Source organism: Homo sapiens, chromosome 22, assembly GCF_000001405.40.
Source record: "Homo sapiens chromosome 22, GRCh38.p14 Primary Assembly".
NCBI lineage: Eukaryota > Metazoa > Chordata > Mammalia > Primates > Hominidae > Homo > Homo sapiens.
This window is the reverse complement of record NC_000022.11, coordinates 20337629-20362836: the sequence shown is the minus strand read 5'-3', so window position 1 is coordinate 20362836 and position 25208 is coordinate 20337629. Positions and strand designations below refer to the sequence as shown.

Below are 25208 nucleotides of genomic sequence, written 5' to 3'. Positions count from 1 at the left end.
TGTGGTGTGATCATAGCTCACTGCAGCCTTGAACTCCTGGGCACAGGTGATCCTCCCACCTCAGCCTCCTGAATAGCCAGGACTACAGGCATGCGCCACAATGCTTGGCATATTTTTAAAAAATGTTTGTAGAGATGAGGTCTCGCTGTGTTGCCAGGCTTGTCTCAAACTACTGGGCTCAAGCCATCTGTATGGTGTCCTCATTAGTGATGTCGTGTACAACGTCCTCATCAGCGATGTCATATATAGCATCCTCATTAGCGATGTCGTATACAGTGTGCTCACTAGCAATGTCTTTTTTTTTTTATTATACTTTAAGTTTTAGGGTACATGTGCACATTGTGCAGGCTAGTTACATATGTATACATGTGCCATGCTGGTGTGCTGCACGCACTAACTCGTCATCTAGCATTAGGTATATCTCCCGATGCTATCCCTCCCCCCCCCACCCCACAACAGTCCCCAGAGTGTGATATTCCCCTTCCTGTGTCCATGTGATCTCATTGTTCAATTCCCACCTATGAGTGAGAATATGCAGTGTTTGGTTTTTTGTTCTTGCGATAGTTACTAGCGATGTCTTATACGGTGTCCTCATTAGCGATGTCGTGTACAGTGTCCGCGTTAGCGTGCCTTGTCGGTATCATTAGCAATGTCGTATAAAGCGCCCTCATTGGTGATGTCTTGTATGGTGCCCTCATTAGCGATGTTGTGTACAGTGTCCTTGTTAGCGACGGCTTGTAGGGTGTCCTCGTTAGCGATGTCGTATACAGCGTCCTCATTACCGATGCCTTGTATGGTGTCCTCATTAGCGATGTCCTGTACAGTGTCCTCGTTAGCGTGCCTTGTACGGTGTCATTAGCGATGTCATATACGGCATCCTCATTAGCGATGCCGTATACGGAGTCCTCGTTAGCGATGCCGTGTACGGCGTCCTCGTTAGCGATGCCGTGGGCGGCGTCCTCGTTAGCGATGTCCTGGGCGGCGTCCTCCTTAGCCATGTGCCGGGCGGCGTCCTCGTTAGCGACGCCGTGGACGGCGACCTCGTTAGCGACGCCCTGGGCGGCGTCCTCGTTAGCGACGCCCTGGGCGGCGACCTCGTTAGCGACGCCGTGGGCGGCATCCTCGTTAGCGACGCCGTGGGCGGCGACCTCGTTAGCGACGCCCTGGGCGGCGTCCTCGTTAGCGACGCCCTGGGCGGCGTCCTCGTTAGCGATGCCCTGGATGGCGTCCTTGTGTGCGATGCCCTGGACTTCGACCTCGTTAGCGACGCCCTGGACGGCGTCCTCGTTAGCGACGCCGTGGACGGCGTCCTCGTTAGCGACGCCCTGGGCGGCGACCTCGTTAGCGACGCCCTGGGCGGCGTCCTCGTTAGCGACGCCGTGGGCGGCGACCTCGTTAGCGACGCCGTGGGCGGCGTCCTCGTTAGCGACGCCCTGGGCGGCGACCTCGTTAGTGACGCCCTGGGCGGCGTCCTCGTTAGTGATGCCGTGGGCGGCGTCCTGCTTAGCGATGGCCTGGGCGGCCTCCTCGTTAGTGATGCCCTGGACGGCGTCCTCAGCGATGCCGTCGGCGACATCCTCGGTAGCAATGCCCTGGGCAGCGACTTCGTTAGCCACGCCCTGGACGGTGTGGTGTCCTCGATAGCGATGCTGTGGACGGCGACCTCGTTAGCGATGCCCTGGGCGGCGACCTCATTAGCGATGCCATGGGCGGCGTCCGGCTTAGCGATCGCTTGGGCGGCATCCTCGTTAGCGACGCCGTGGGCGGCGTCCTCGTTAGCGATGCCGTCGGCGACATCCTCGGTAGCGATGCCCTGGGCGGCGACCTCGTTAGCGATGCCGCGGGCGGCGTCCGGCTTAGCGATCGCGTGGGCGGCATCCTCGTTAGCGACGCCGTGGGCGGCGACCTCTTTAGCGACGCCGTGGACGGCGTCCTCGTTAGCGATGCCCTGGACGGCGTCCTCGTGTGCAATGCCCTGGGCGGCGTCCTCGTTCGCGATGCCCTGGGCGGCGTCCTCGTTCGCGATGCCGTGGGCGGCGACCTCGTTAGCGATGCCGTGGGCGGCGTCCTCGTTAGCGATGCCCTGGACGGCGTCCTCGTGTGCGACGCCCTGGACTTCAACCTCGTTAGCGACGCCCTGGACGGCGTCCTCGTTAGCGACGCCCTGGACGGGGTCCTCGTTAGCGACGCCCTGGACGGGGTCCTCCTTAGCGATGCCCTGGGCGGCGTCCTCGTTTGCGATGTCCTGGGCGGCGTCCTCGTTCGCGATGCCCTGGGCAGCGTCCTCGTTGGCGATGCCGTGGGCGGCGTCCTCGTTAGCGATGCCCTGGACGGCGTCCTCGTGTGCGACGCCCTGGACTTCAACCTCGTTAGCGACGCCCTGGATGGGGTCCTCCTTAGCGATGCCCTGGGCGGCGTCCTCGTTCGCGATGCCCTGGACGGCGTCCTCCTTAGAGATGCCGTGGGCGGCGACCTCGTTAGCGACGCCGTGGGCGGCGTCCTCGTTAGCGATGCCGTCGGCGACATCCTCGGTAGCGATGCCCTGGGCGGCAACCTCGTTAGCGATGCCGCGGGCGGCGTCCGGCTTAGCGATCGCGTGGGCGGCATCCTCGTTAGCGACGCCATGGGCGGCGACCTCTTTAGCGACGCTGTGGACGGCGTCCTCGTTAGCGATGCCCTGGACGGCGTCCTCGTGTGCGATGCCCTGGGCGGCGTCCTCGTTCGCGATGCCCTGGGCGGCGTCCTCGTTCGCGATGCCGTGGGCGGCGACCTCGTTAGTGATGCCGTGGGCGGCGTCCTCGTTAGCGATGCCCTGGACGGCGTCCTCGTGTGCGACGCCCTGGACTTCAACCTCGTTAGCGACGCCCTGGACGGCGTCCTCGTTAGCGACGCCCTGGACGGGGTCCTCGTTAGCGACGCCGTGGGCGGCGACCTCTTTAGCGACGCCGTGGACGGCGTCCTCGTTAGCAATGCCCTGGACGGCGTCCTCGTGTGCGATGCCCTGGGCGGCGTCCTCGTTCGCGATGCCCTGGGCGGCGTCCTCGTTCGCGATGCCCTGGACGGCGTCCTCCTTAGAGATGCCGTGGGCGGCGACCTCGTTAGCGATGCCCTGGGCGGCGTCCTCGTTCGCGATGCCCTGGGCAGCGTCCTCGTTCGCGATGCTGTGGGCGGCGACCTCGTTAGCGATGCCATGGGCGGCGTCCGGCTTAGCGATTGCTTGGGCGGCATCCTCGTTAGCGACGACGCTGTGGAGGGCGTACTCGTTAACGACGCCCTGGACGGCGTCCTCGTTAGCGACGCCGTGGGCGGTGACCTCTTTAGCGACGCCCTGGGCGGCGTCCTCGATAGCGACGCAGTGGACGGCGACCTCGTTAGCGATGCCGTGGGCGGCGACCTCGTTAGCGACGCCGTGGGCGGCGTCCTCGTTAGCGATGCCGTCGGCGACATCCTGGGTAGCGATGCCCTGGGTGGCGACCTCGTTAGCGATGCCGCGGGCGGCGTCCGGCTTAGCGATCGCGTGGGCGGCATCCTCGTTAGCGACGCCGTGGGCGGCGACCTCTTTAGCGATGCCGTGGACGGCGTCCTCGTTAGCGATGCCCTGGACGGCGTCCTCGTGTGCGATGCCCTGGGCGGCGTCCTCGTTCGCGATGCCCTGGGCGGCATCCTCGTTCGCGATGCCATGGGCAGCGACCTCGTTAGCGATGCCGTGGGCGGCGTCCTCGTTAGCGATGCCCTGGACGGCGTCCTCGTGTGCGACACCCTGGACTTCAACCTCGTTAGCGACGCCCTGGACGGCGTCCTCGTTAGCGACGCCCTGGACGGGGTCCTCGTTAGCGACGCCGTGGGCGGCAACCTCTTTAGCGACGCCGTGGACGGCGTCCTCGTTAGCAATGCCCTGGACGGCGTCCTCGTGTGCGATGCCCTGGGCGGCGTCCTCGTTCGCGATGCCCTGGGCGGCGTCCTCGTTCGCGATGCCCTGGACGGCGTCCTCCTTAGAGATGCCATGGGTGGCGACCTCGTTAGCGATGCCCTGGGCGGCGTCCTCGTTAGCGACGCCGTGGGCGGCGTCCTCGTTAGCGACGCCCTGGACGGCATCCTCGTTAGTGATGCTGTGGGCGGCATCCTGCTTAGCGATGGCCTGGGCGGCCTCCTCGTTAGTGATGCCATGGGCGGCGTCCTCAGCGATGCCGTCGGCGACATCCTCGGTAGCGATGCCCTGGGCAGCGACCTCGTTAGCCACGCCCTGGACGGTGTGGTGTCCTCGATAGCGATGCTGTGGACGGCGACCTCGTTAGCGATGCCCTGGGCGGCGACCTCGTTAGCGATGCCATGGGCGCTGTCCGGCTTAGCGATCGCTTGGGCGGCATCCTCGTTAGCGACGACGCCATGGAGGGCCTCCTGGTTAACGACGCCCTGGACGGCGTCCTCGTTAGTGACGCCGTGGGCGGTGACCTCTTTAGCGACGCCCTGGGCGGCGTCCTCGTTAGCGACGCCGTGGACGGCGTCCTCGTTAGCGACGCCCTGGGCGGCGTCCTCGTTAGCGACGCCCTGGGCGGCGTCCTCGTTCGCGACGCCGTGGGCGGCGACCTCGTTAGCGATGCCGTGGGCGGCGTCCTCGTTAGCGATGCCCTGGACGGCGTCCTCGTGTGCGATGCCCTGGACTTCAACCTCGTTAGCGACGCCCTGGACGACGTCCTCGTTAGCGACGCCCTGGACAGGGTCCTCGTTAGCGACGCCGTGGGCGGCGACCTCTTTAGCGACGCCGTGGACGGCGTCCTCGTTAGCAATGCCCTGGACGGCGTCCTCGTGTGCGATGCCCTGGGCGGCGTCCTCGTTCGCGATGCCCTGGGCGGCGTCCTCGTTCGCGATGCCCTGGACGGCGTCCTCCTTAGAGATGCCGTGGGCGGCGACCTCGTTAGCGATGCCCTGGGCGGCGTCCTCGTTCGCGATGCCCTGGGCAGCGTCCTCGTTCCCGATGCCGTGGGCGGCGACCTCGTTAGCGATGCCATGGGCGGCGTCCGGCTTAGCGATCGCTTGGGCGGCATCCTCGTTAGCGAAGACGCTGTGGAGGGCGTCCTCATTAACGACGCCCTGGACGGCGTCCTCGTTAGCGACGCCGTGGGCGGTGACCTCTTTAGCGACGCCCTGGGCGGCGTCCTCGTTAGCGACGCCGTGGACGGCGTCCTCGTTAGCGACGCCCTGGACGGCGTCCTCGATAGCGACGCCGTGGGCGGCGACCTCGTTAGCGACGCCGTGGGCGGCGTCCTCGTTAGCGATGCCGTCGGCGACATCCTCGGTAGCGATGCCCTGGGTGGCGACCTCGTTAGCGATGCCGTGGGCGGCATCCGGCTTAGCGATCGCGTGGGCGGCATCCTCGTTAGCGACGCCGTGGGCGGCGACCTCGTTAGCGACGCCGTGGACGGCGTCCTTGTTAGCGATGCCGTCGGCGACATCCTCGGTAGCGATGCCCTGGGCGGCAACCTCGTTAGCGATGCCGCGGGCGGCGTCCGGCTTAGCGATCGCGTGGGCGGCATCCTTGTTAGCGACGCCGTGGGCGGCGACCTCTTTAGCGACGCCGTGGACGGCGTCCTCGTTAGCGATGCCCTGGACGGCGTCCTCGTGTGCGATGCCCTGGGCGGCGTCCTCGTTCGCGATGCCCTGGGCGGCGTCCTCGTTCGCGATGCCCTGGACAGCGTCCTCCTTAGAGATGCCGTGGGCGGCGACCTCGTTAGCGATGCCCTGGGCGGCGTCCTCGTTCGCGATGCCGTGGGCGGCGACCTCGTTAGCGATGCCATGGGCGGCGTCCGGCTTAGCGATCGCTTGGGCGGCATCCTCGTTAGCGACGACGCCGTGGAGGGCGTCCTCGTTAACGACGCCCTGGACGGCGTCCTCGTTAGCGACGCCGTGGGCGGTGACCTCTTTAGCGACGCCGTGGGCGGCGTCCTCATTAGCGATGCCGTCGGCGACATCCTCGGTAGCGATGCCCTGGGTGGCGACCTCGTTAGCGATGCCGTGGGCGGCATCCGGCTTAGCGATCGCGTGGGCGGCATCCTCGTTAGCGACGCCGTGGGCGGCGACCTCTTTAGCGACGCCGTGGACGGCGTCCTCGTTAGCGATGCCCTGGACGGCATCCTCATGTGCTATGCCCTGGGCGGCGTCCTCGTTCGCGATGCCGTGGGCGGCGACCTCGTTAGTGATGCCGTGGGCGGCGTCCTCGTTAGCGATGCCCTGGACGGCGTCCTCGTGTGCGACGCCCTGGACTTCAACCTCGTTAGCGACGCCCTGGACGGCGTCCTCGTTAGCGACGCCCTGGACGGGGTCCTCCTTAGCGATGCCCTGGGCGGCGTCCTCGTTCGCGATGCCCTGGACGGCGTCCTCCTTAGAGATGCCCTGGGCGGCGTCCTCGTTTGCGATGTCCTGGGCGGCATCCTCCTTTGCGATGTCCTGGGCGGCGTCCTCGTTCGCGATGCCCTGGGCAGCGACCTCGTTCGCGATGCCGTGGGCGGCGTCCTCGTTAGCGATGCCCTGGACGGCGTCCTCGTGTGCGACGCCCTGGACTTCAACCTCGTTAGCGACGCCCTGGACAGGGTCCTCGTTAGCGACGCCCTGGACGGGGTTCTCTTTAGCGATGCCCTGGGCGGCGTCCTCGTTCGCGATGCCCTGGACGGTGTCCTCCTTAGAGATGCCGTGGGCGGCGACCTCGTTAGCGATGCCCTGGGCGGCGTCCTCGTTCGCGATGCCCTGGGCAGCGTCCTCGTTTGCGATGCCGTGGGCGGCGACCTCGTTAGCGATGCCGTGGGCGGCATCCTCGTTAGCGATGCCCTGGATGGCGTCCTTGTGTGCGATGCCCTGGACTTCGACCTCGTTAGCGACGCCCTGGACGGCGTCCTCGTTAGCGACGCCCTGGGCGGCGTCCTCGTTAGCGACGCCCTGGGCGGCGACCTCGTTAGCGACGCCCTGGGCGGCGTCCTCGTTAGCGACGCCGTGGGCGGCGACCTCGTTAGCGACGCCGTGGGCGGCGTCCTCGTTAGCGACGCCCTGGGCGGCGACCTCGTTAGCGACGCCCTGGACGGCGTCCTCGTTAGTGATGCCGTGGGCGGCATCCTGCTTAGCGATGGCCTGGGCGGCCTCCTTGTTAGTGATGCCATGGGCGGCGTCCTCAGCGATGCCGTCGGCGACATCCTCGGTAGCGATGCCCTGGGCAGCGACCTCGTTAGCCACGCCCTGGACGGTGTGGTGTCCTCGATAGCGATGCTGTGGATGGCGACCTCGTTAGCGATGCCCTGCGCGGTGACCTCGTTAGCGATGCCATGGGCGGCGTCCGGCTTAGCGATCGCTTGGGCGGCATCCTCGTTAGCGACGACGCCGTGGAGGGCGTCCTCGTTAACGACACCCTGGACGGCGTCCTCGTTAGCGACGCCGTGGGCGGTGACCTCTTTAGCGACGCCCTGGGCGGCGTCCTCGTTAGCGACGCCCTCGACGGCGTCCTCGTTAGCGACGCCCTGGGCGGCGACCTCGTTAGCGACGCCGTGGGCGGCGTCCTCGTTAGCGATGCCGTCGGCGACGTCCTCGGTAGCGATGCCCTGGGCGGCAACCTCGTTAGCGATGCCGCGGGCGGCGTCCGGCTTAGCGATCGCGTGGGCGGCATCCTCGTTAGCGACGCCGTGGGCGGCGACCTCTTTAGCGACGCCGTGGACGGCGTCCTCGTTAGCGATGCCCTGGACGGCGTCCTCGTTAGCGACGCCCTGGACGGGGTCCTCGTTAGCGACGCCCTGGACGGGGTCCTCCTTAGCGATGCCCTGGACGGCGTCCTCGTTATTGACGCCCTGGACGGGGTCCTCGTTAGCGACGCCCTGGACGGGGTCCTCCTTAGCGATGCCCTGGGCGGCATCCTCGTTCGCGATGCCCTGGACGGCGTCCTCCTTAGAGATGCCCTGGGCGGCGTCCTCGTTTGCGATGTCCTGGGCGGCGTCCTCGTTTGCGATGTCCTGGGCTGCGTCCTCGTTTGCGATGCCGTGGGCGGCGTCCTCGTTAGCGATGCCCTGGGCGGCGTCCTCGTTTGCGATGTCCTGGGCGGCGTCCTCTTTAAGGACGCCCTGGGCGGCGACCTCGTTAGCGATGCAGTGGACGGCGTCCTCGTTAGCGACGCCCTGGGCGGCGACCTCGTTAGCGACGCCGTGGGCGGCGTCCTCATTAGCGATATTGTGGGCGGCGTCCTCATTAACGATGCCCTGGGTGGCATCCTCGTTAGCGATGTCGTGGACCGCGTCCTCGTTAGCGATGCTCTGGGCGGCGTCCTCGTTAGCGATTACGTGGGCGGCATCCTCGTTAGCGATGTCGTGGACGGCTTCCTCGTTAGCGATGCCCTGGGCGGCGTCCTCCTTTGCGATGCCCTGGACGGCGTCCTCGTTAGCGATGTCATATATGGCGTCCTCAGTAGCAATGTCATATACAGCGTCCTCATTAGCGATGTCGTGTACAGTGTCCTCATAGGGAGCTAGAAGAACACAGAGTTAAGGTCAGTGCCCTGGTGCTGGAGACTGTGAATCACCCAGGGGCTTGCTTGGTGTGATGCATGGAGGTGGCTGATTACAGCATGGGTCAAGCTGATGGTGGGACATACTCCCAGGTGGACCTGCACTAGTGAAGCTAAGGGATGTGGCTCAGAACACTTTCTGCTGTGGGAATCATTTTCCAGGTTCAGGTATGTATTATCCGGTGAAATGGGGAAATATAAAAAAATAGAAATTGACAAATTCATGAAAAGCCTTCCATGAGTGCAAGTGTGATTTTTTTTATCCACTTTACATTCAGTATGCATTCACACATACAAAATATTTTTACAAGAAATCAGAAATTTTAATTTTTGTCAGTTATGTTAAATCTAACTTAGCTGCCAACATAAAGATTCTATCTCATTTACTTGGTCTCGAGAAAATCTAGCACATAGTAAGTAGACCAAAATGTTTATTAAATGAAAACACAGAGCAGAGATAGGGGGGCTGCTAGGCAGACTGGGTTGCACCTGATTACCTGGATGATAATTAACTGCACAAAACCTCGGTCAAATTAATATTGAAACTGTCTTTTGCTTGGGCTCGTTTCCCTTGCGGAAGAAGGATGACGAAGAAGATGAACAGGAAAGAAATGAGAAACAGAGGCCTTTGCTTAGTAGCTAAAGGCCACCTTCTATAACATGAAATAGTCTGCAAGTGGCCTTGAACTCTGCCGTGATTCAGTGACAGAGTTCCCTCATGTCTTCTACCCAGGTTGAAGTCCAGCAAAATTGCGACTGTCCTCTTTACAACTTGCGAGACCACACTGCTTCTGCATTTGCCTGTTGTATGTATGAGATTTACACGTGTTTTAAAGCAACATTTTGTTTCAGTTGGGCTGGTGGCCATACCCGGCACTAGCCGGTCAATAGTGAGATGGCTCCTCATGGAGGAGGCTTGGCTTGAGGCTGAGGGTCTTTAACCCACATATACAAGAGAGTTGCCACTAAGGGATGGAAGCCAGGCTAATAACCAAGTGCCACACAGAGTTCCTATCTGTCCCTCCTCACCATTTTTGGCTGGCAGGATTTGAGCATTTTAGGGCTTGGGAAGATAGTATTACTAAATCTACTAAAATACATCACCCATCCTTATAGACTTTGGCCAGTTGCTGAGCAAATTAACTTCACAACTGAAGTGGGCCACACTGGCCTTTGTGGTCCCCCACTCCTCTTAGAATTTGTGAGCGTGGGGCCTACTGGAGGGTGGGAGGTGGGAGGAGGGGGAGGATCAGGAAAAATAACTGATATTAGGCTCAATATATGGGTGATGCAATAATCTGTACAACAAACTCTCATGACACACATTTATATATGTAGCAAACCTGCACATCCTGCCCATGTACCCCTGAACTTAAAAGTTAAAAAAAAAAAAAAAAAAGGATTGGTGAGCTGAGCCAAACACCTGGGGATCTTTGTGCTTTTGACACACTGATGACTATGCCTGTCTGTGGGGAGATGAGCCTATAACTGCCTTGGGTTGTGTGACCACGGAGCCCACTTTATGATGATGGGCAGTGTCTGGGGCCTTTTGGGCTCGGTGCTTTAGGGCTTATACATGAATGTTGGACTCCCTGTGTGGTGGTGAACACCCCATGACTAAGTGCCATGTCAGCGTCAGCACTGGCCCACACTCCTGGGTTCGTGTTTTCACTTTTTCATTCAGGAACTCGGGAGCTGGGGCCACTCCCTTGGCCCTTCAGTTTCTCCACCTGAGCAGTGGGGATAATAAGGCAGACCCGGGGATGGCTCTGGTGAGGGTGGAGGAGTCACTGTACAGAGAGAGTAGAGCGGGGGTGGATTTTATTGTTAGAAGTGGACACTGGTGATTGGGTTGTATAAGTGGGAAATCTCTCCTGAGAAAACACACAGCCTCACCTGTACAGAAACACACACATTCACACCACACGATGCAGCCTCACACAAGACACCACCAATCCTCAAGCACCCAACTCAGCACCACCCAAAAGGGAGCACAGCTGCTTCCTCAAAATTTGGCCATAATTTTTCCCTGGGGAATTCAGGTTTTAAAAAAACACTTCCCCTATACTTATTCCTATCACAATCCCAGGATCAGGGTGGCTCTTCACATTGAAACCAGGCAAGGATGCCACACCTTTCTTGGCATCCAGATTGTTTTCTTGGCAAGTGATTCCAGAATACTTACTAGATTCATGCCTCAGAGGGGCCACCTGCACCACCTGCAATACAGAAACAAAGCTTTTTGAGGGGTATGTCACGTTGTGGATTGTTTGCACAAGGCTGTGTTTCTCTCAATGAATATTGAAAACTTGATCAGAAAGTGTAGTCAACTTCAAGGCCTCCAAAACAAGGGTAGGATACACACTGGAAAAGGCATCAGCTTCTGGACGGTGTATCTCTCAGGTCCACGTAGGTTGGCAAGTGCAAAATACTGAATCCAAGGAGAAGACATTGCTTCCAAGGACAAGGACCCCAAGGATACAGTCCACAACCTGAAGCCGTCATAGCTAAATGCCATTTTGGATTACATATCAGTTGCTAAGAGTCACTTCTTCCTCCCCCTCAGAAAACTGCATTTAATACCTGTCATGGACATTGTCATTTTTTCACATGTAAAGTCAGTTGAAAAAGAAAGACACCAAGAAAGGAACATTTCTATTTCAGAGAAAGCAAGGCAACCTTACCCTCACGTTGACTGGCCTCTCTCCATCTCCTCTGTCCTTGTGAACTAGAGACTCCTCAGAGGCTAAGAGGACACAGAGCAACAGTTAGTCATAGATGCTTTTGTTCATGAGTTATTCAGGGAGCTCTGCTCAATGTGGACAACAGGACAGTGTGTGTGGATGTGTTTCATTAAAAGCACAGCTTGAGCTCCTGCTAGAAAATCTTCCCTGGTGGAAAGACAGGCAAGAACGAGGAGCTAAGGAGCAAGAAATAGAGTCCCTGGCATTTTGCTGATGGCAACTTAAGGCAATGGGAATGAGTCAGTCTACAAATGGTACTGAAGCACATGCTATAGTTTGATGAGAGTCCCACTGCTCACACTGTGAGGTTTGAAACCCAGCTAAATGGTTTTCTAAACCCTGTAAAAACGATATTAGCTTGCAGGATTTATGTCCCAAGACTACTTTTACCTCTGAGGATCCACAGTGGCTGTCACTGCAGTTATTATGTGTTTTAGCATTTTGCACTTGAATAAAAGCAAAGTTTAATAGACAGATTGGATTCGATTCTAGGCAAAACAGTCTATGGTATTTATTCACTAATCCTTTGTTATAACTGCTGATGGGAGAATTAGAAGTACTGAAATTATATCTTTTAAAATTAATTAAAGCATAATTATTAATCACACAATATTTTTTCATCCAGGCCTCCTTTTCTTTGTCATGCATGCATATTAATTGAGGATGGAGAATATCTACGCTTGTTCAGGCCAGCCAACATACGACAGTTTACTTCAAGAGAGGAGACATGGGTTGAATGCTGGTGTGTTTTAACTCTGCAGCGCAAACAGTTGCAACAAGTGTGGTGAACTAAACACCAGATGGCCCTTTGCTGCCTTATTTGTCATTGTGCCTTACATGTAGCTTGCAGGATTTGATTACGCTTATGTTTTGTGGTGATCATACTTTCAACTATTCCTAAAATACTGCTTCAGTCTTATCTGTTTGGGGTCAACTGCCGAGGATTTCATACAAATTAATGAAGTTTGTGAATCTAAAGTTCTACACAAAGGTGGAAATATTTGCAAATCATTTATCTTGTAAGAGACTAAAATTTAGAATATATTTTAAATATATTTAAGATATATTCAAAAATCTACAACAACAAACTAACTAAATAAAAATCAGACAACTCTTTAAAAATGGGCAAAAGACTTCAACATATATTTCCCTAAAGAAGATACAGCCACAGATAGTAGCACAGGAAAAGCTGCTCAGGATCATTAGTCATTAGGGAAATGCAAATGAAAAACACAAGCAGCCACCAATATACACCTACTAGGATGATTTAAAGGAAAATAAGTGTGAAGAAGGACGTAAAGAAATTGTAACCCTGATACATTGATGGTAGAAATGGATAAAGTTGCAGCCACTGTGAAAAACAGTCTGCAGTGGCTCAGAAGGTTAAATATAGAACCCCTGTTGGACCCAGGAACTCTACTCTTAGGCACCCCAAAGAATAGAGAACGGAAATCAAACAGATGTTTGTATACTAATGTTTGTAGCATCACTTTTCACAGGAGCCAAAAGGTGGAAATAATCCAACCATCAGTGAACAAATGAATGTAATAAAAGCAAAGTGGTCTGCATGCAATGCTACATCATCCATCTGTAAAAAACGAACATCATTTTGATAGATGCTACAACATGGGTGGACATTGAGAACATTATGCTTAGTGAAATAAGCCAGACACAAAAGGAATATATTGTATAATTGTAATTACATGAAGTGCCTAGAATAGTCAAATTCATACAAGAGAAAGTGGGATAGGAATCACCATGGGCTGGAAATAGGGGGAAGGTGCTATATTGCTTATTGTGGACAAGGTTTCGTAAGAAATCATCAAAATTGTGGGTGTAGATAGTGGTGCTGGTTATGCAACCCTGTGAATATATTGAATGCCATGGAGTGCACACTTTGGTTAAAAGGTTCAAATGATAAATATTGTGTTATATATATTTCCCCACGATAGAAAACACGCACAGCCAAGCCCAGATGCCAGTCTTGTTAGCTGCCTTCCTTTACCTTCAAGAGTGGGCTGAAGCTTGTCCAATCTTTCAAGATTGCTGAAGACTGTATGATGGAAGTCATCTGTATTGGGAAAGAAATTAATGGAGAGAGGAGAAAATTTGAGAATCCACAGTACTCACCCTGCAGGGCCAAGAACTCTGTCTCCCATGCATTGCTGTCCTGTCTCAGTATTTCCTGTGACCACCTCCTTTTTCAACTGAAGACTTTGTACCTGAAGGGGTTCCCAGGTTTTTCACCTCAGCCCTTGTCAGGACTGATCCTCTCAACTATTGACCATTTCACCTCCATTCATGTCCATGCCACATCAGGCTGTGTTGTCTAGATGGAATGAATCCACCCAAAATGTCCCTTTCTGGAGGAAGCCACCATTATGCTGTACCTCCAAGCATAATGGTACATCCACACACACCAAGGCACCTCGCTCATGCAAGGTGTGTGTCCTCTAACAAAGTTTCACACTCTAAACCCAGATAACTTTTCAAACCCAAGTTCTGTTGATTCCCCTACTTTGAGTGCTCCATAGATGCTCATTTGTCTACTAAACACTGCCCCAGGCAATTAAATATTCCAAAGTGACCAGCAGAATTTTTATGTTAATTCTGACATTGCGTTGTTAGTACAAGTGTTTTTCCCCCTTCAAATTTATGTCTTTGTTACTGATAAATGTAACTGATAATGCGTTTTTCAGCTGTGTTGCCAAGCATATTTATATAAAAATATACTCAGATTGTTTTCAGAATTTGACAAAGATGATAGCAATAATGATAATCTTATTTGTTTTATACCAATCTTTATGTGTTACTTTCATCATTTCTTACATATTGGGGCCTACCATACATTGTACGGTGAAATTAGTGCTATGCATCATGGTAGAAATATAAATTGGCAAAAGTAATTTAGAAAATAGTTCCCTTGTTTCTTAAAAAAATTAGGCTGGGTGTGGTGGTTCATGCCTATAATCCCAGCACTTTGGGAGGCAGAGATGGGTGGATCACCTGAGGCTAGGAGTTTGAGACTAGCCTGACCAACACAGCAAAATCCTGTCTCTACTGAAAATACAAAAATTATCCAGGCATGGTGGCGTGTGCCAGTTGTCCCAGCTACTCGGGAGGTTGAGGCACGAGAATTGCTTAAACCTGGGAGGTGGAGGTTCCAGTGAGCCGAGATTGTGCCACTGCACTCCAGCCTGGGTCTCAGAAAAAAAAAATTTTTTTTGACCAAAATGTCATTATGCATTACATGACTGTATATGAATGCTCAAAGCTACATTACTCATCAAAGAAAATAACAAAACAATTAAATGTCCATTAACTGATAAATGAATAAACACTATCTGTATGAGTAAACACAGCAGACTATGAAGGAAAACACATGACCAGCACGTGCTAACACGTCAATTAACTTCAAACATAGTATGCTAAATGAAGGAAGTCAGATTCCAAATATATGTATACGTCCATTTCTATTAAGCAAATGGGAAATTTATGGAGATGGAATGTCACAGCAGTATTGCTTAGGGCTGGAGATGGGAGTGGGGATTAACTGCCAGTGCGCAAGAGAGAATTTGGGTGAGGGAAACATATTTAAATTAGATCGTGGTGATGGGTGCACACAGTATCAATTTAATAAAGCATCAAATTGTAGACCTTTTCAGTGGGCAAACTTTATGGTGGGTTCACACCCAATATAGGTGTTAAGAATAAATTAATGTTACGGAAATTCTTGTCGGGTTTTTAACAAGCCAAGAGATATGCTGTGAAAGCAGCATTAATTCAAATGGTTGTCACAGGTCACTTAAAGTTAGATAGTTGTCCTACAAATATAGGGTGAATGTTATTCATGAATTTCCTGAATCTATTGCAATAATCACATTTTTTTCCATTAAACTCTTGAGGTAGCTAATTTTATTTATTGCATTTTCAATGTTAATCTACTATTTCATATATTGAGATTAACTCACATTAGTCAGAATTTACAGTATTTTAAAATATCACAGAATTTAATTTACCTTATCTGGTTTTGGTTTCAAGACTATACTAGCCATTTCATTTAATTGTACATGTAGGATATTCTAATTTATGGAAAACTATTACATCTTCCTTGATTTTTTTTTTTTTTTTAGAAATTACTTCTAGGGATCTATATGGTAGAGTCCATGGAGAATTGTTTTAATTCTTCATTCATGTCTTCAGTGGGTATAGGATTGGTCATATTGGTCATAGTTTTCTGCTCGGATTTCAATAAGAAACTTGTGGAAGAACCTGAAGGGTGGGATCTTTGAGGGAGCCTAAGACAGAGCAAGACAAGCTAAGAAGGAGGGCAGTGCCACAGCAGAACTGCCATTGATGCCCCCTCGCCTAGATTGCGGAAGAGACATCCAGCTGTAGACACTGAGGTGCAGGAAAACAATGGAGCACCATCAGAGAAAGCAGTGCCCAGGAACAAGGAGGCACTGATGGTGGCAAGGGGCAAAGACAGCTGCCACGAGGCTGTTCACATGAGGGTCTCAGGCTGCATAGACACCCACACCAGCTGAGGGGTCCTGGTTTTCATAAAGTGTGTGGCTCAGCCAGGCCACCAACAAGCAGTTCACAAACAGTAGTAATACGACACTTTCCAAAGACCTTACTTGAGTAACACGGTGATCCTCACAAATTTCCAATCAGGATGGTCGCACAGTTCCTCCTGCTTTAGGACTCAGAGCCTGCCCGTGGTCACAGTGGGTAGGTGCAGACTCTGAAGATGCACTTTGGTCAGAGACCCCGCTGAACTCTGTCTAATGAGGACCTCTGTCCTGTCTGCTGACCACCCGTCAGAGGTGCAGGCTGCAGTGGGGAGTAAGAATGCCACCTTCTCAATGTTGGGAAAACTCCCTGCCAGAACTGAGAATGGCCCTTTCTAAGCAGAAGGCAAGCTCAGACTAAAGAAGGAGGCCGAACACATCAGGTTGGCAGATTGCCAAAGATTCACTCAGGGAGAGCCCACATCCTGGGCCATCTTGGGTGGTGGCAAGATGAGGTAGACGACTGCTTTTGCAACACACACCTGACAACAAAAAATCAACAACTGTAAAAGAGCCACAAAATCCCCAAATATTTGCAAATTAGCAATGCACTTTTAAATAACTCATGGGTTAAAGAAGAAGTCTCAATAGAAAATTAAAAATACTTTTAACTACATTAAAAGAAAATGTGACTTGGCAAGATTTCTGGATGTAGCAAAAGCAGTCCTTAGAGGGAAATCTATAGCATTGGATGCAATATACTAAAAATCACAAGACCTAAAATCAGTAATATCATGTTTCAATTAGGGAACTATAGAAAATAGAGGAATGCAATGGAAAGCAAGTAAAAGTAATAAACAACATCACAGAAATCAATAAAATTAAAACACTGAGATCATCAGAAAATCAATAAAACCAAAAGCTGGTTCTTTGATATGCTCATTACAATGAATGAATTGATATGCAGGCTAACCAAGAAAAAGAAGATAACACAAATGACCAATTTCAGAAATAAAAGAGGAGCCATCTCTACTGAACTGTTAGGCATTAAAAGGAATATCATGAACAGTTCTATGACCGCAGTTTGATAACCTCAGTGAAATGTATCAATTCCTTGAAAGGCAATCTTCCCAAGGTCATGCTAGGATCCTAATTTGAATAAACTTATGTCTATTAAATAAGTTGAATTCACATTAAGAGCATTCCGAAAAAGAAAGCACCAGGCCCAGATGGTTTCTCTCATGAAATCTACCGAATTCTTCAACAGGTGAATAAAAAGACAAAAATTCATTGAATGCAATATTATTTGGTGATTTAATGTGCCATTTTTTGCCATTAAGGCATAAAAAAGACATGAAAGCAGCTAAAGCGTACATCAATTTAGTGCAATAAATTCATCTGAAAAAACTACATAATATATGATTCCAACTATATGACATTCTGGAAAAGGCAAAGCTGAAGCGATAGTAAAAATATTAATAGTTGCCAAGGTTTCTGGAGAAAGAGGACAGAGATTAATGAGAAGAGAGGATTTTTAGGGAAGTGAACATTTTCTTTATGAGACCATAAGGGTGAACATAATGTTTTAAATATTTCAAAATTCATATATATGTATAACAGAAAGAATGAACATTATGCAAATGTAGACTTCAGATAATAATGTGTCAATATTTTCTCATTATTCTAGCAAATGTACCACAGTAATGTAAGATGTTACTAATAGGTGAAATTAGGAAGTGAGGGTGAGGAGACAGAATAATATGGGAACTTCCTGTATTATATACTCAATTTTTATTTATTTATTTATTTATTTATTTATTTATTTTGAGATGGAGTTTCACTCTTGTCACCCAGGCTGGAGTGCAATGGCATGATCTTGGCTCACTGCAACCTCTGCCTCCTGGGTTCAAGCGATTCTCCTGCCTCCGCCTCCTGAGTAGCTGGGATTACAGGCGCCTGCCACCACACCCGGCTAATTTTTTTGGATTTTTAGTAGAGATGGGGTTTCACCATGTTGGCCAAGCTGGTCTCCAACTCCTGACCTCAGATGATCTGCCTGCCTTGGCCTCCTAAAGTGCTGGGATTATAAGTGTGAGCCACCACGCCCGGCCATATGCTCAGTTTTTATGTCAATTTAAAACTCTCTAAAGAAATATATTAATTGAAAAATAATAATATAGCACCACTCTTTCAGGGAGATCTATGCTTATGTTTAACAACCAGGTAAGTTCTAGACATTAGCTTGAAACATTGTCTATCATTAAACATGAACCAAAATTGACTTTTAAGTAGATATTTACTTTTGTGGTGGTAGCAATATTTACTGACCAGGCAAATTAGAATCCTGACACATTAAAAAATATGGCTTAGTCTCTTCATAGTTTCCTCTTACATATGGGACACTGAATACTCCCCGCAACTGCAATTCTTGAATCAACTTAATTAATGAACTTCCACAGTACCTTCTTGTGGGTACCTCTTCTTCTTTACCCGGGAGCCATGAGGTCTCCTACACTGGTTGGTGTGCACAGCATATCTTCTTGTATTCTCTATCAGAGAAGATGCTGGTTAATGCATTGACAATAGATAGGGCTGTTGACATCTTGCTGACAGAAGACCAGAGGGAAAATAGTGATAATCTGTTCTAAGTTTAAACTTATGATCCTTTTCTTTACAGGCTTCCAAGCAGAGCCCACTGAATCAAAGTTGGGTTTCAGGAAGATCACGGAGTTCAGTGAGCACTCAACACCTCTATCAGACAGACTGCGTGGGCAGTGCCTTCCTGGAGAGGGGAACACAGCAGGATGACTGTGAGTGCAGGGCTGGTGCAGAGTGGGGGCCCGGATTCAAATTCCACTAAGCCATGTGGACCTGGCAAGCTCATGTCCTCCCTCTGCCCTCAGTTCTCTGCACTGTCATAATGTAATTTTAGCAATACTTTTTAGGCCCTATTTAAGCCCTACTTCTTAGTATCACAGTACAGGGCTAAAAAATCACTAAATACAGGAAAACCTTAGAGAGGACTGGTACTTCAGTAATGTTCTCTAAGTGTTTACTACATGCCAGGAGGAATAAGCTGGACACTTAGCAGTGGCGGAATATGGAGGGGGAACTTGGATGGCTCCGGGGCAGTGGAGCATGCTTTCCTGTTCGGCTTTTCCGTGGGCATGACGCCTTATGGTTTATAGAGAACATCAGCCCTGCAGGGGGTGCAGAGGAGGGGCTGTGGCTGAGATTTTACACTTGAGGGTGCTGACATTCAGAGATGATAAGTGACGAGCAGAACCTCAACCCCGCTGAGTGAAGGACCTGAGATGGGAAATGTATTTGGTTCCCTAGAGAGAGAGATTCCTGAAAAACTGCCACCTCTTCATCACGCCCTGTGCCAGAGACCCAAGAGACCCCTCACTGTCTTTCTCCAGTCCTCCTAGCCCAAGGTGTGTGGGTGGACAAAGGTGGTGCTCTGGAGGAAATGCCTGAGATAAGGACAGGTCCTTAATGATAAAGAATTCTCCTTCCTCTTTCAGATCCTTGACCTCCCAGTATGACAGCTTAAAGGCTGTCATCTCTGTGGCCTGCCTCCCCTTTCCCTTCACCCTGCCAGCTGCCTCTCAGTGACTGTCTCCTCCAGTGACTACACTGAGGGACCAGGGACTGCTTGCCTCCCGAGGCTGCTCAGACCTTCCGACACCGCAAAATGATTGTCAAAAATGGGTCTGCAAAGAGTAACTTCCCTTCCACTGATCAAACCTGAATGTGCAAGCTACTGTCAATTAACTGGAAAAGTGGCCGTGTGGGCTGGTGCTTTGGTGATTTAATGAGTAAAGTCTACAACCCCCACTGCCTCCTTGACTATTGATCAGAGCTGCCTGCAATAAGGTCTGGCTAAGAATGGGCAGTGGCTGCACCAGCTCTGGGTAAAATTTGACCTAAAATGACCAATCTCATTCACTAACCTCACCATAGTCTTATGGGTTCAATGGACCTGTCCAATCCTTTGCTCTGTTCTCTCCATCACCTTCCTGTGTAATTTTCCTCCACCACGCACATAAGAGAAACATGGCACAGGGGAGCTAATCGCCTCTTTTATCCCCCACTTCAGGCTCACACGTAAGTTTATAGTAAAAGCCTTTTCAAATGACTGCTTTAACTGCTGCTACAGCATGTGCCATCAGTTGAATGGAATCTGTCACGTGACTTTAAGCAACCCTTTGCTGAGAGACAAGATTCAATACTAGGGACAGTATTCTAGTGTACTACATCATTGATTTTATGTTATGAAGATCATCATTTATTGAAAATGTATAAATAATGAAGCCCAGCCTTACTCTTCAACGCTGTGTGTGTAAATCCACTGAGTGTGCTGACCCCCACGCTTGTACCCACCTGCTAACACAGAAAGGGTCCACTCAGAAGGCAGGCACAGCTCCAGCACTGAGGCTGTCCACACCAGCTTCACAAGAGGGTTGCCACAAGGACGACGGATACCCGGATAACAACCAAATGGTAATTTGAGTACTTAATGGTCATGATCCCTAAAGTGTGTAGCTCAGAGGGCTTGTGGTGATAACTCCATCAAGACTCTAAAGCATCTCCCCAATTCTTACTGGACTTGATCCATGTCTTGAGGAGACCCAGCTATGACACGCAGGCACCACATTGTCCTACTTAGTGCCTCCCTTAGTGTTTCAGAACCTGTGATTTGATCAGAAACATGGGCTTTCTATGTTGGTTTCACACTAAGGACTATGTGACACCTGCAGGAAGATGTCTACATAGCTACCTGGATTATGAGATCATGACGTTCTCTTATGTGAGGGATGGCGTTTGGGATCTCTGCAGGTGTGGGTAATTCCAGGCATAGAGGGTGCTGGAACTCCCTTGCATGGTGAATAGTGATCTCTTCACTGGCTGATAAATAGAGGTTGTAGTTCAGGCCTTCAACATTAGCACCGTATGAGTAAACATTTTGACTCTTCACTATGCAGCAAGTGAACCAGGGCACATTTATTTATGTGGCTTAGTTTCTCCATCTGGCATGTGGGCTCAGTAAACAAGCTCACAACATATGGGCATGATGATGATGAGGTGTGAACTAATGTAAGTAAAGTATGTGGTCTGATTTGTTAAATTAAGAAACATGGCACTGAGAGTTGTGCTGGGTAAACACAACATTTTTTTCGTAGGGGAAACACACATAGACACACATTCACAAGCAAATCATGCAGACTTGCACACAGACCACCTCACCCCACCCCCGCCCTAATACACACATACCCACACACAACCTAATGTGAACATGTTCCCAGAAACTATACATAGATAAAAAGAGTATGTCACCAGGAAAACCAGTTTCTTTTACTATACCCTACATCCTCATTCCCACCAGATGTCTTGGATCATGGAGGCTCTCCAGACAAAAGCCAGCAGTTAAGCTCCAGATTTCCTGTAGAATCCTTTTCTAACAACCAGTGAGTGATTCCAGAATACGTACCATTGAATGTGCTCCCTGAAGTCACCTGTAATTAGAGAAGGAAAACACTCTGAGAATCAGGCTATGCTATGGATGGCTCACACAGGTCTTTTGTTCACTTGGAAACTCTGGGTAACCAAGACTGGAAATAAGGTTCAAGTCAAAAGCCCCAACTCTAGAGTAGAGTTCCCTTAGGAAAGCACAGGAGCTTTTCTTGAAGAATGTTTCTGTCTAGGTAATTTTTGAGTAGAAATTGCAGAATTCTTATCTAAAGTGGAAAGCTTGTTCCTGAAGAAAACATCCCTTAGCACCCAGTGTACTATCTGACACTGCCAATTTTGCACGTCCTCTGGAATCAGGTGTCAGTTGGTAAAATACACCTCCTCCACCCCCAAGGAAATATTATCTAACACCTATAATGTAGTGGATAATTTTCCCATAGCTGATATCAACTGAAAAATAAAGGATCCAAGAAAACAACATTTGCATCTTAGGCAAAGACAGGCTACTTTACCTTGGTAGTAGAGTAGGGCTTCCTTTTCACACGCTTTTTGGAAGGCTTCTTCGAGTCACCTAGGGGATGTGGAGGGACACAGCATTGCTGTCAGTTCATTGGCAGTGCTACTCATGAATGACTCAGGGACTGGAACTTAGGGGCGTGCCTGGTTAACAAGCATGGAATGAGCTTCTCCTGGACCATCTTCTTCACGGACCAAGGAAGGCAAAGAAAGAGCAGCAAGGAAATGAGAGTAGAGCCCTTGGCTTTCCAGGTAATGGCAAATGAAAGCAACGTGAAATAATCAACTCCAAATGAACAAATGCTAAAATACATGCTAGGATTCAACCACAGCATCCTGTCACTTCTTCAGACCCTTTAAAAGCCCAGCAGGACTGCCACTACCTTCTTGACATCTACCAAGTCCCTTTCAACCTCCACAGACCCACATACACTGCTACTGCATTTATCATGGAGGGTATAGGGTTCTGCCTTGTTTATGTGTGAATGTTTTAAAAACTAGATTTAATACCATGCACCAGCATTAATTGTATTTATTTCTTTTCTTGGTTATGAAAATAATCAGTCAGGCATAGTGGCTCACACCTGTAATCCCAGCAGTTTGGAAGGTGGAGGTGGGTGGATCATTTGAGGTCAGGAGTTCGAGACCAGCCTGACCAACATGGTAAAACCCCATCATTGAAGATAAATGTTTTATATCCATGGTTAACAGATGAGATGACCATGAAATGAACACCAGTGTACTGGGTGGAGCAGCTTATCTATTCAGTCTTCTGCACTAAAACCTGTGAAACAATATCATCTTGCCTTATTTACTAACAAATACAAGTGCCTCTAAACTTAGACAGTTTCCAAATCATGGAACTGATGAGCACTTAGCTCCTGCAGAGAGCTCTGGATGATGGGTCGGGAGAACAAAGACACAATACATCAAAACAGCATTAACAAGTAAACAGGTTTTCAAAGCTCTCTACATGCAAATTTACACAATTATCCTTTTAATTTTTATCTTCATATATATGTACATAATCTACTTGCTTCTGAGTATAAATAAAACTGTATGTTCTTAGTTAATAGTCTCTATAAATTCACTCTATTTATCTTTCTGAGTTGAAATACTGCATCTCATTGGATAACAAAAAAAAAATTTGACTAAGATTACACTGGAAAGGTGAGTAGGTTGGGTGATTGACTGTGATTGACAATTCCATGATTCTGGATAACTTCCAAGGCATAAAAATAAATGTGTGTTTTCTTTCACACGTAGACAATACACATACTTATTACTTTAAAAAATTAATATGTGCATGGAAGTGACTTACTACAAATATATTAAAGTAAATACACATTTCACAAAAAAAGAAGAGAGGAAGGGAAAAACATGTTAAAAACAAAGAGATGTACATTTTATTGTGTGAAAAGCCTCCAACGGATCCATACTACTGTGGCTTTGTTCCAAAGTTTTGGAAAGTAATGATTTCATAGGTTCTTAATTGGGTTAAAAACTGCATTAAAATAGACTTTGCCATATTCTCCCCTGGGGAATAACTTAATCTGTGGGGTGGGGGATGGAACGTTGAAGGATGCAGGATGTAAAAGGAAATTATATATATATATATATATAATTTGGGAATTTGGGAATAAACTGAATAAACTGAATCCCAATTCACACTGGGACTACACCAGCTGCCACCATGCCTGGCTAATTTTTTGTATTTCTAGTAGAGACAGGGTTTCACTGTAATGGCCAGGATGGTCTTGATCTCCTCACCTTGTGATCCTCTTGCCTTGGCCTCCCAAAGTGCTGGGATTACAGGCCTGAGTCAAGATACATATTTTTTAAATGAAGAAAAATTTCAAAGATACTCTGCTTGGTACAATAATCAAATATATAAATTGAGGAATAAAACATAATCATGAAACATATTTATAACTGCATATGGAAAATACAGAGGCTAATTTTTTAAATAACATATTTTGAAAGCATTAACTAGTAATTTGAAAAGATCGCATTTGACAGGCCAGTATGAACATACCTTGAATGCAGCAAGACAGGTTCCCCATAAGAAAAATCAAAATCAGGGAAAATGAAACCACAATGGTTCAATCTGCTCTGACCTTTGAAAAACTCAGCACAGATAGTGGCACTTAGGACCAAGGGCAGGAGATCCCTAATCCCATCACCATGGCGATAGGGCATAAACATTCCAGGGTGAAGGCACAATCCACACTGTGAGGTCCAACTGCTGCCATGCAGACAGGTGGGCTTTTACAAGTACAGGAAGGTCATCAAAGGCTCAGTGTTTTGTTTCAAAAACTGAATCCCAAGCCCACACATTATTATGCTGGCTTCTTAAAATAAGTTATGAGATGGGAAATAGGGCACCGACAAATATATATATATAAAATTATATATAATATAATATATATTATATATAAAATTATATATAATATAATATATATTATATATATATATATATTTTGGGAATTTGGGAATAAACTGAATCCCAATTCACACTGGGACTACACCAGCTGCCATCATGCCTGGCTAATTTTTTGTATTTTTAGTAGAGACAGGGTTTCACCGTATTGGCCAGGATGGTCTTGATCTCCTCACCTTGTGATCCTCTTGCCTTGGCCTCCCAAAGTGCTGGGATTACAGGCTTGAGCCAAGATACATATTTTTTAAATGAAGAAAAATTTCAAAGGTACTCTGCTTGGTATAAGAATCAAATATATAAATTGAGGAATAAAACCTAACCATGAAACATATTTATAACTGCATATGGAAAATACAGAGGCTAATTTTTTAAATAACATATTTTGAAAGCATTAACTAGTAATTTGAAAAGATCGCATTTGACAGGCCAGTATGAACATACCTTGAATGCAGCCACACAGGTTCCCCATAAGAAAAATCAAAATCAGGGAAAATGGAACCACAAAGGTTCAATCTGCTCTGACCTTTGAAAAACTCAGCACAGATAGTGGCACTTAGGACCAAGGGCAGCAGATCCCTAATCACATCACCATGGCGATAGGGCATAAACATTCCAGGGTGAAGGCACAATCCACACTGTGAGGTCCAAATGCTGCCATGCAGACAGGTGTGCTTTCACATGTACAGGAAGGTCATGGAAGGCTCAGTGTGTCGTTTCAAAAACTGAATCCCAAGTCCACACATTATTATGCTGTGCTTCTTAAAATAAGTTATGAGATAGGAAATAGGGCACCCCCAAATATATATATAATTATATATAATATAATATATATAATATATAACATATATATAATTTCCTTTTACATCCTGCATCCTTATATATAATATTATATTTAATATAATATATAATATTATATTTAATATAATATATAATATTATATTTAATATAATATATAATATTATATTTAATAATATATTATACAT

General features: G+C 49.2%; 1 protein-coding gene and 1 long non-coding RNA gene across 3 annotated transcripts, besides 4 other annotated features; both read right to left on the bottom strand.

Annotated features, from left to right (window-relative positions):
* Positions 1089-1588: an enhancer, noted in NCBI's record as "H3K27ac-H3K4me1 hESC enhancer chr22:20715539-20716038 (GRCh37/hg19 assembly coordinates)". NCBI's record gives its function as "activates a minimal SCP1, AML or CMV promoter by ChIP-STARR-seq in naive and primed H9 embryonic stem cells {active_cell/tissue: H9 hESC(naive and primed)}" and the evidence as "EXISTENCE:reporter gene assay evidence [ECO:0000049][PMID:30033119]".
* LOC124905153 (uncharacterized) lies at positions 1506-9443 on the bottom strand. Its single transcript, XM_047441699.1, has 4 exons — positions 9407-9443; positions 7394-8497; positions 3854-7268; positions 1506-3556 (listed from the first exon to the last, which is right to left on the bottom strand). Exons 1-4 carry the CDS (start codon positions 9441-9443, stop codon positions 1609-1611), a joined length of 6504 nt encoding a protein of 2167 aa, XP_047297655.1. The 3' UTR covers positions 1506-1608.
* Positions 1589-2090: an enhancer, noted in NCBI's record as "H3K27ac-H3K4me1 hESC enhancer chr22:20715037-20715538 (GRCh37/hg19 assembly coordinates)". NCBI's record gives its function as "activates a minimal SCP1, AML or CMV promoter by ChIP-STARR-seq in naive H9 embryonic stem cells {active_cell/tissue: H9 hESC(naive)}" and the evidence as "EXISTENCE:reporter gene assay evidence [ECO:0000049][PMID:30033119]".
* Positions 8478-8699: a silencer, noted in NCBI's record as "fragment chr22:20708428-20708649 (GRCh37/hg19 assembly coordinates)". NCBI's record gives its function as "represses an EF-1alpha promoter that drives an FKBP-Casp9 reporter gene in an ReSE screen in K562 erythroleukemia cells {active_cell/tissue: K562}" and the evidence as "EXISTENCE:reporter gene assay evidence [ECO:0000049][PMID:32094911]".
* Positions 9444-10340: 897 nt separating the features above from the next.
* FAM230G (family with sequence similarity 230 member G) lies at positions 10341-24807 on the bottom strand. 2 transcript variants are annotated; one of them, NR_165637.1, is made up of 7 exons: positions 24667-24807; positions 21782-21840; positions 21181-21313; positions 18257-18343; positions 13286-13351; positions 11221-11282; positions 10341-10755 (listed from the first exon to the last, which is right to left on the bottom strand). It is a non-coding gene; the product is annotated as a family with sequence similarity 230 member G (long non-coding RNA). The 2 variants fall into 2 exon arrangements; NR_136572.2 differs by lacking the exon at positions 24667-24807 and adding an exon at positions 23821-23924 and having other exon boundaries at positions 21289-21313.
* Positions 11252-11452: a silencer, noted in NCBI's record as "peak4456 fragment used in MPRA reporter construct". NCBI's record gives its function as "represses an SCP1 promoter by STARR-seq MPRAs in K562 erythroleukemia cells {active_cell/tissue: K562}" and the evidence as "EXISTENCE:reporter gene assay evidence [ECO:0000049][PMID:32103011]".
* Positions 24808-25208: the final 401 nt, after the last annotated feature.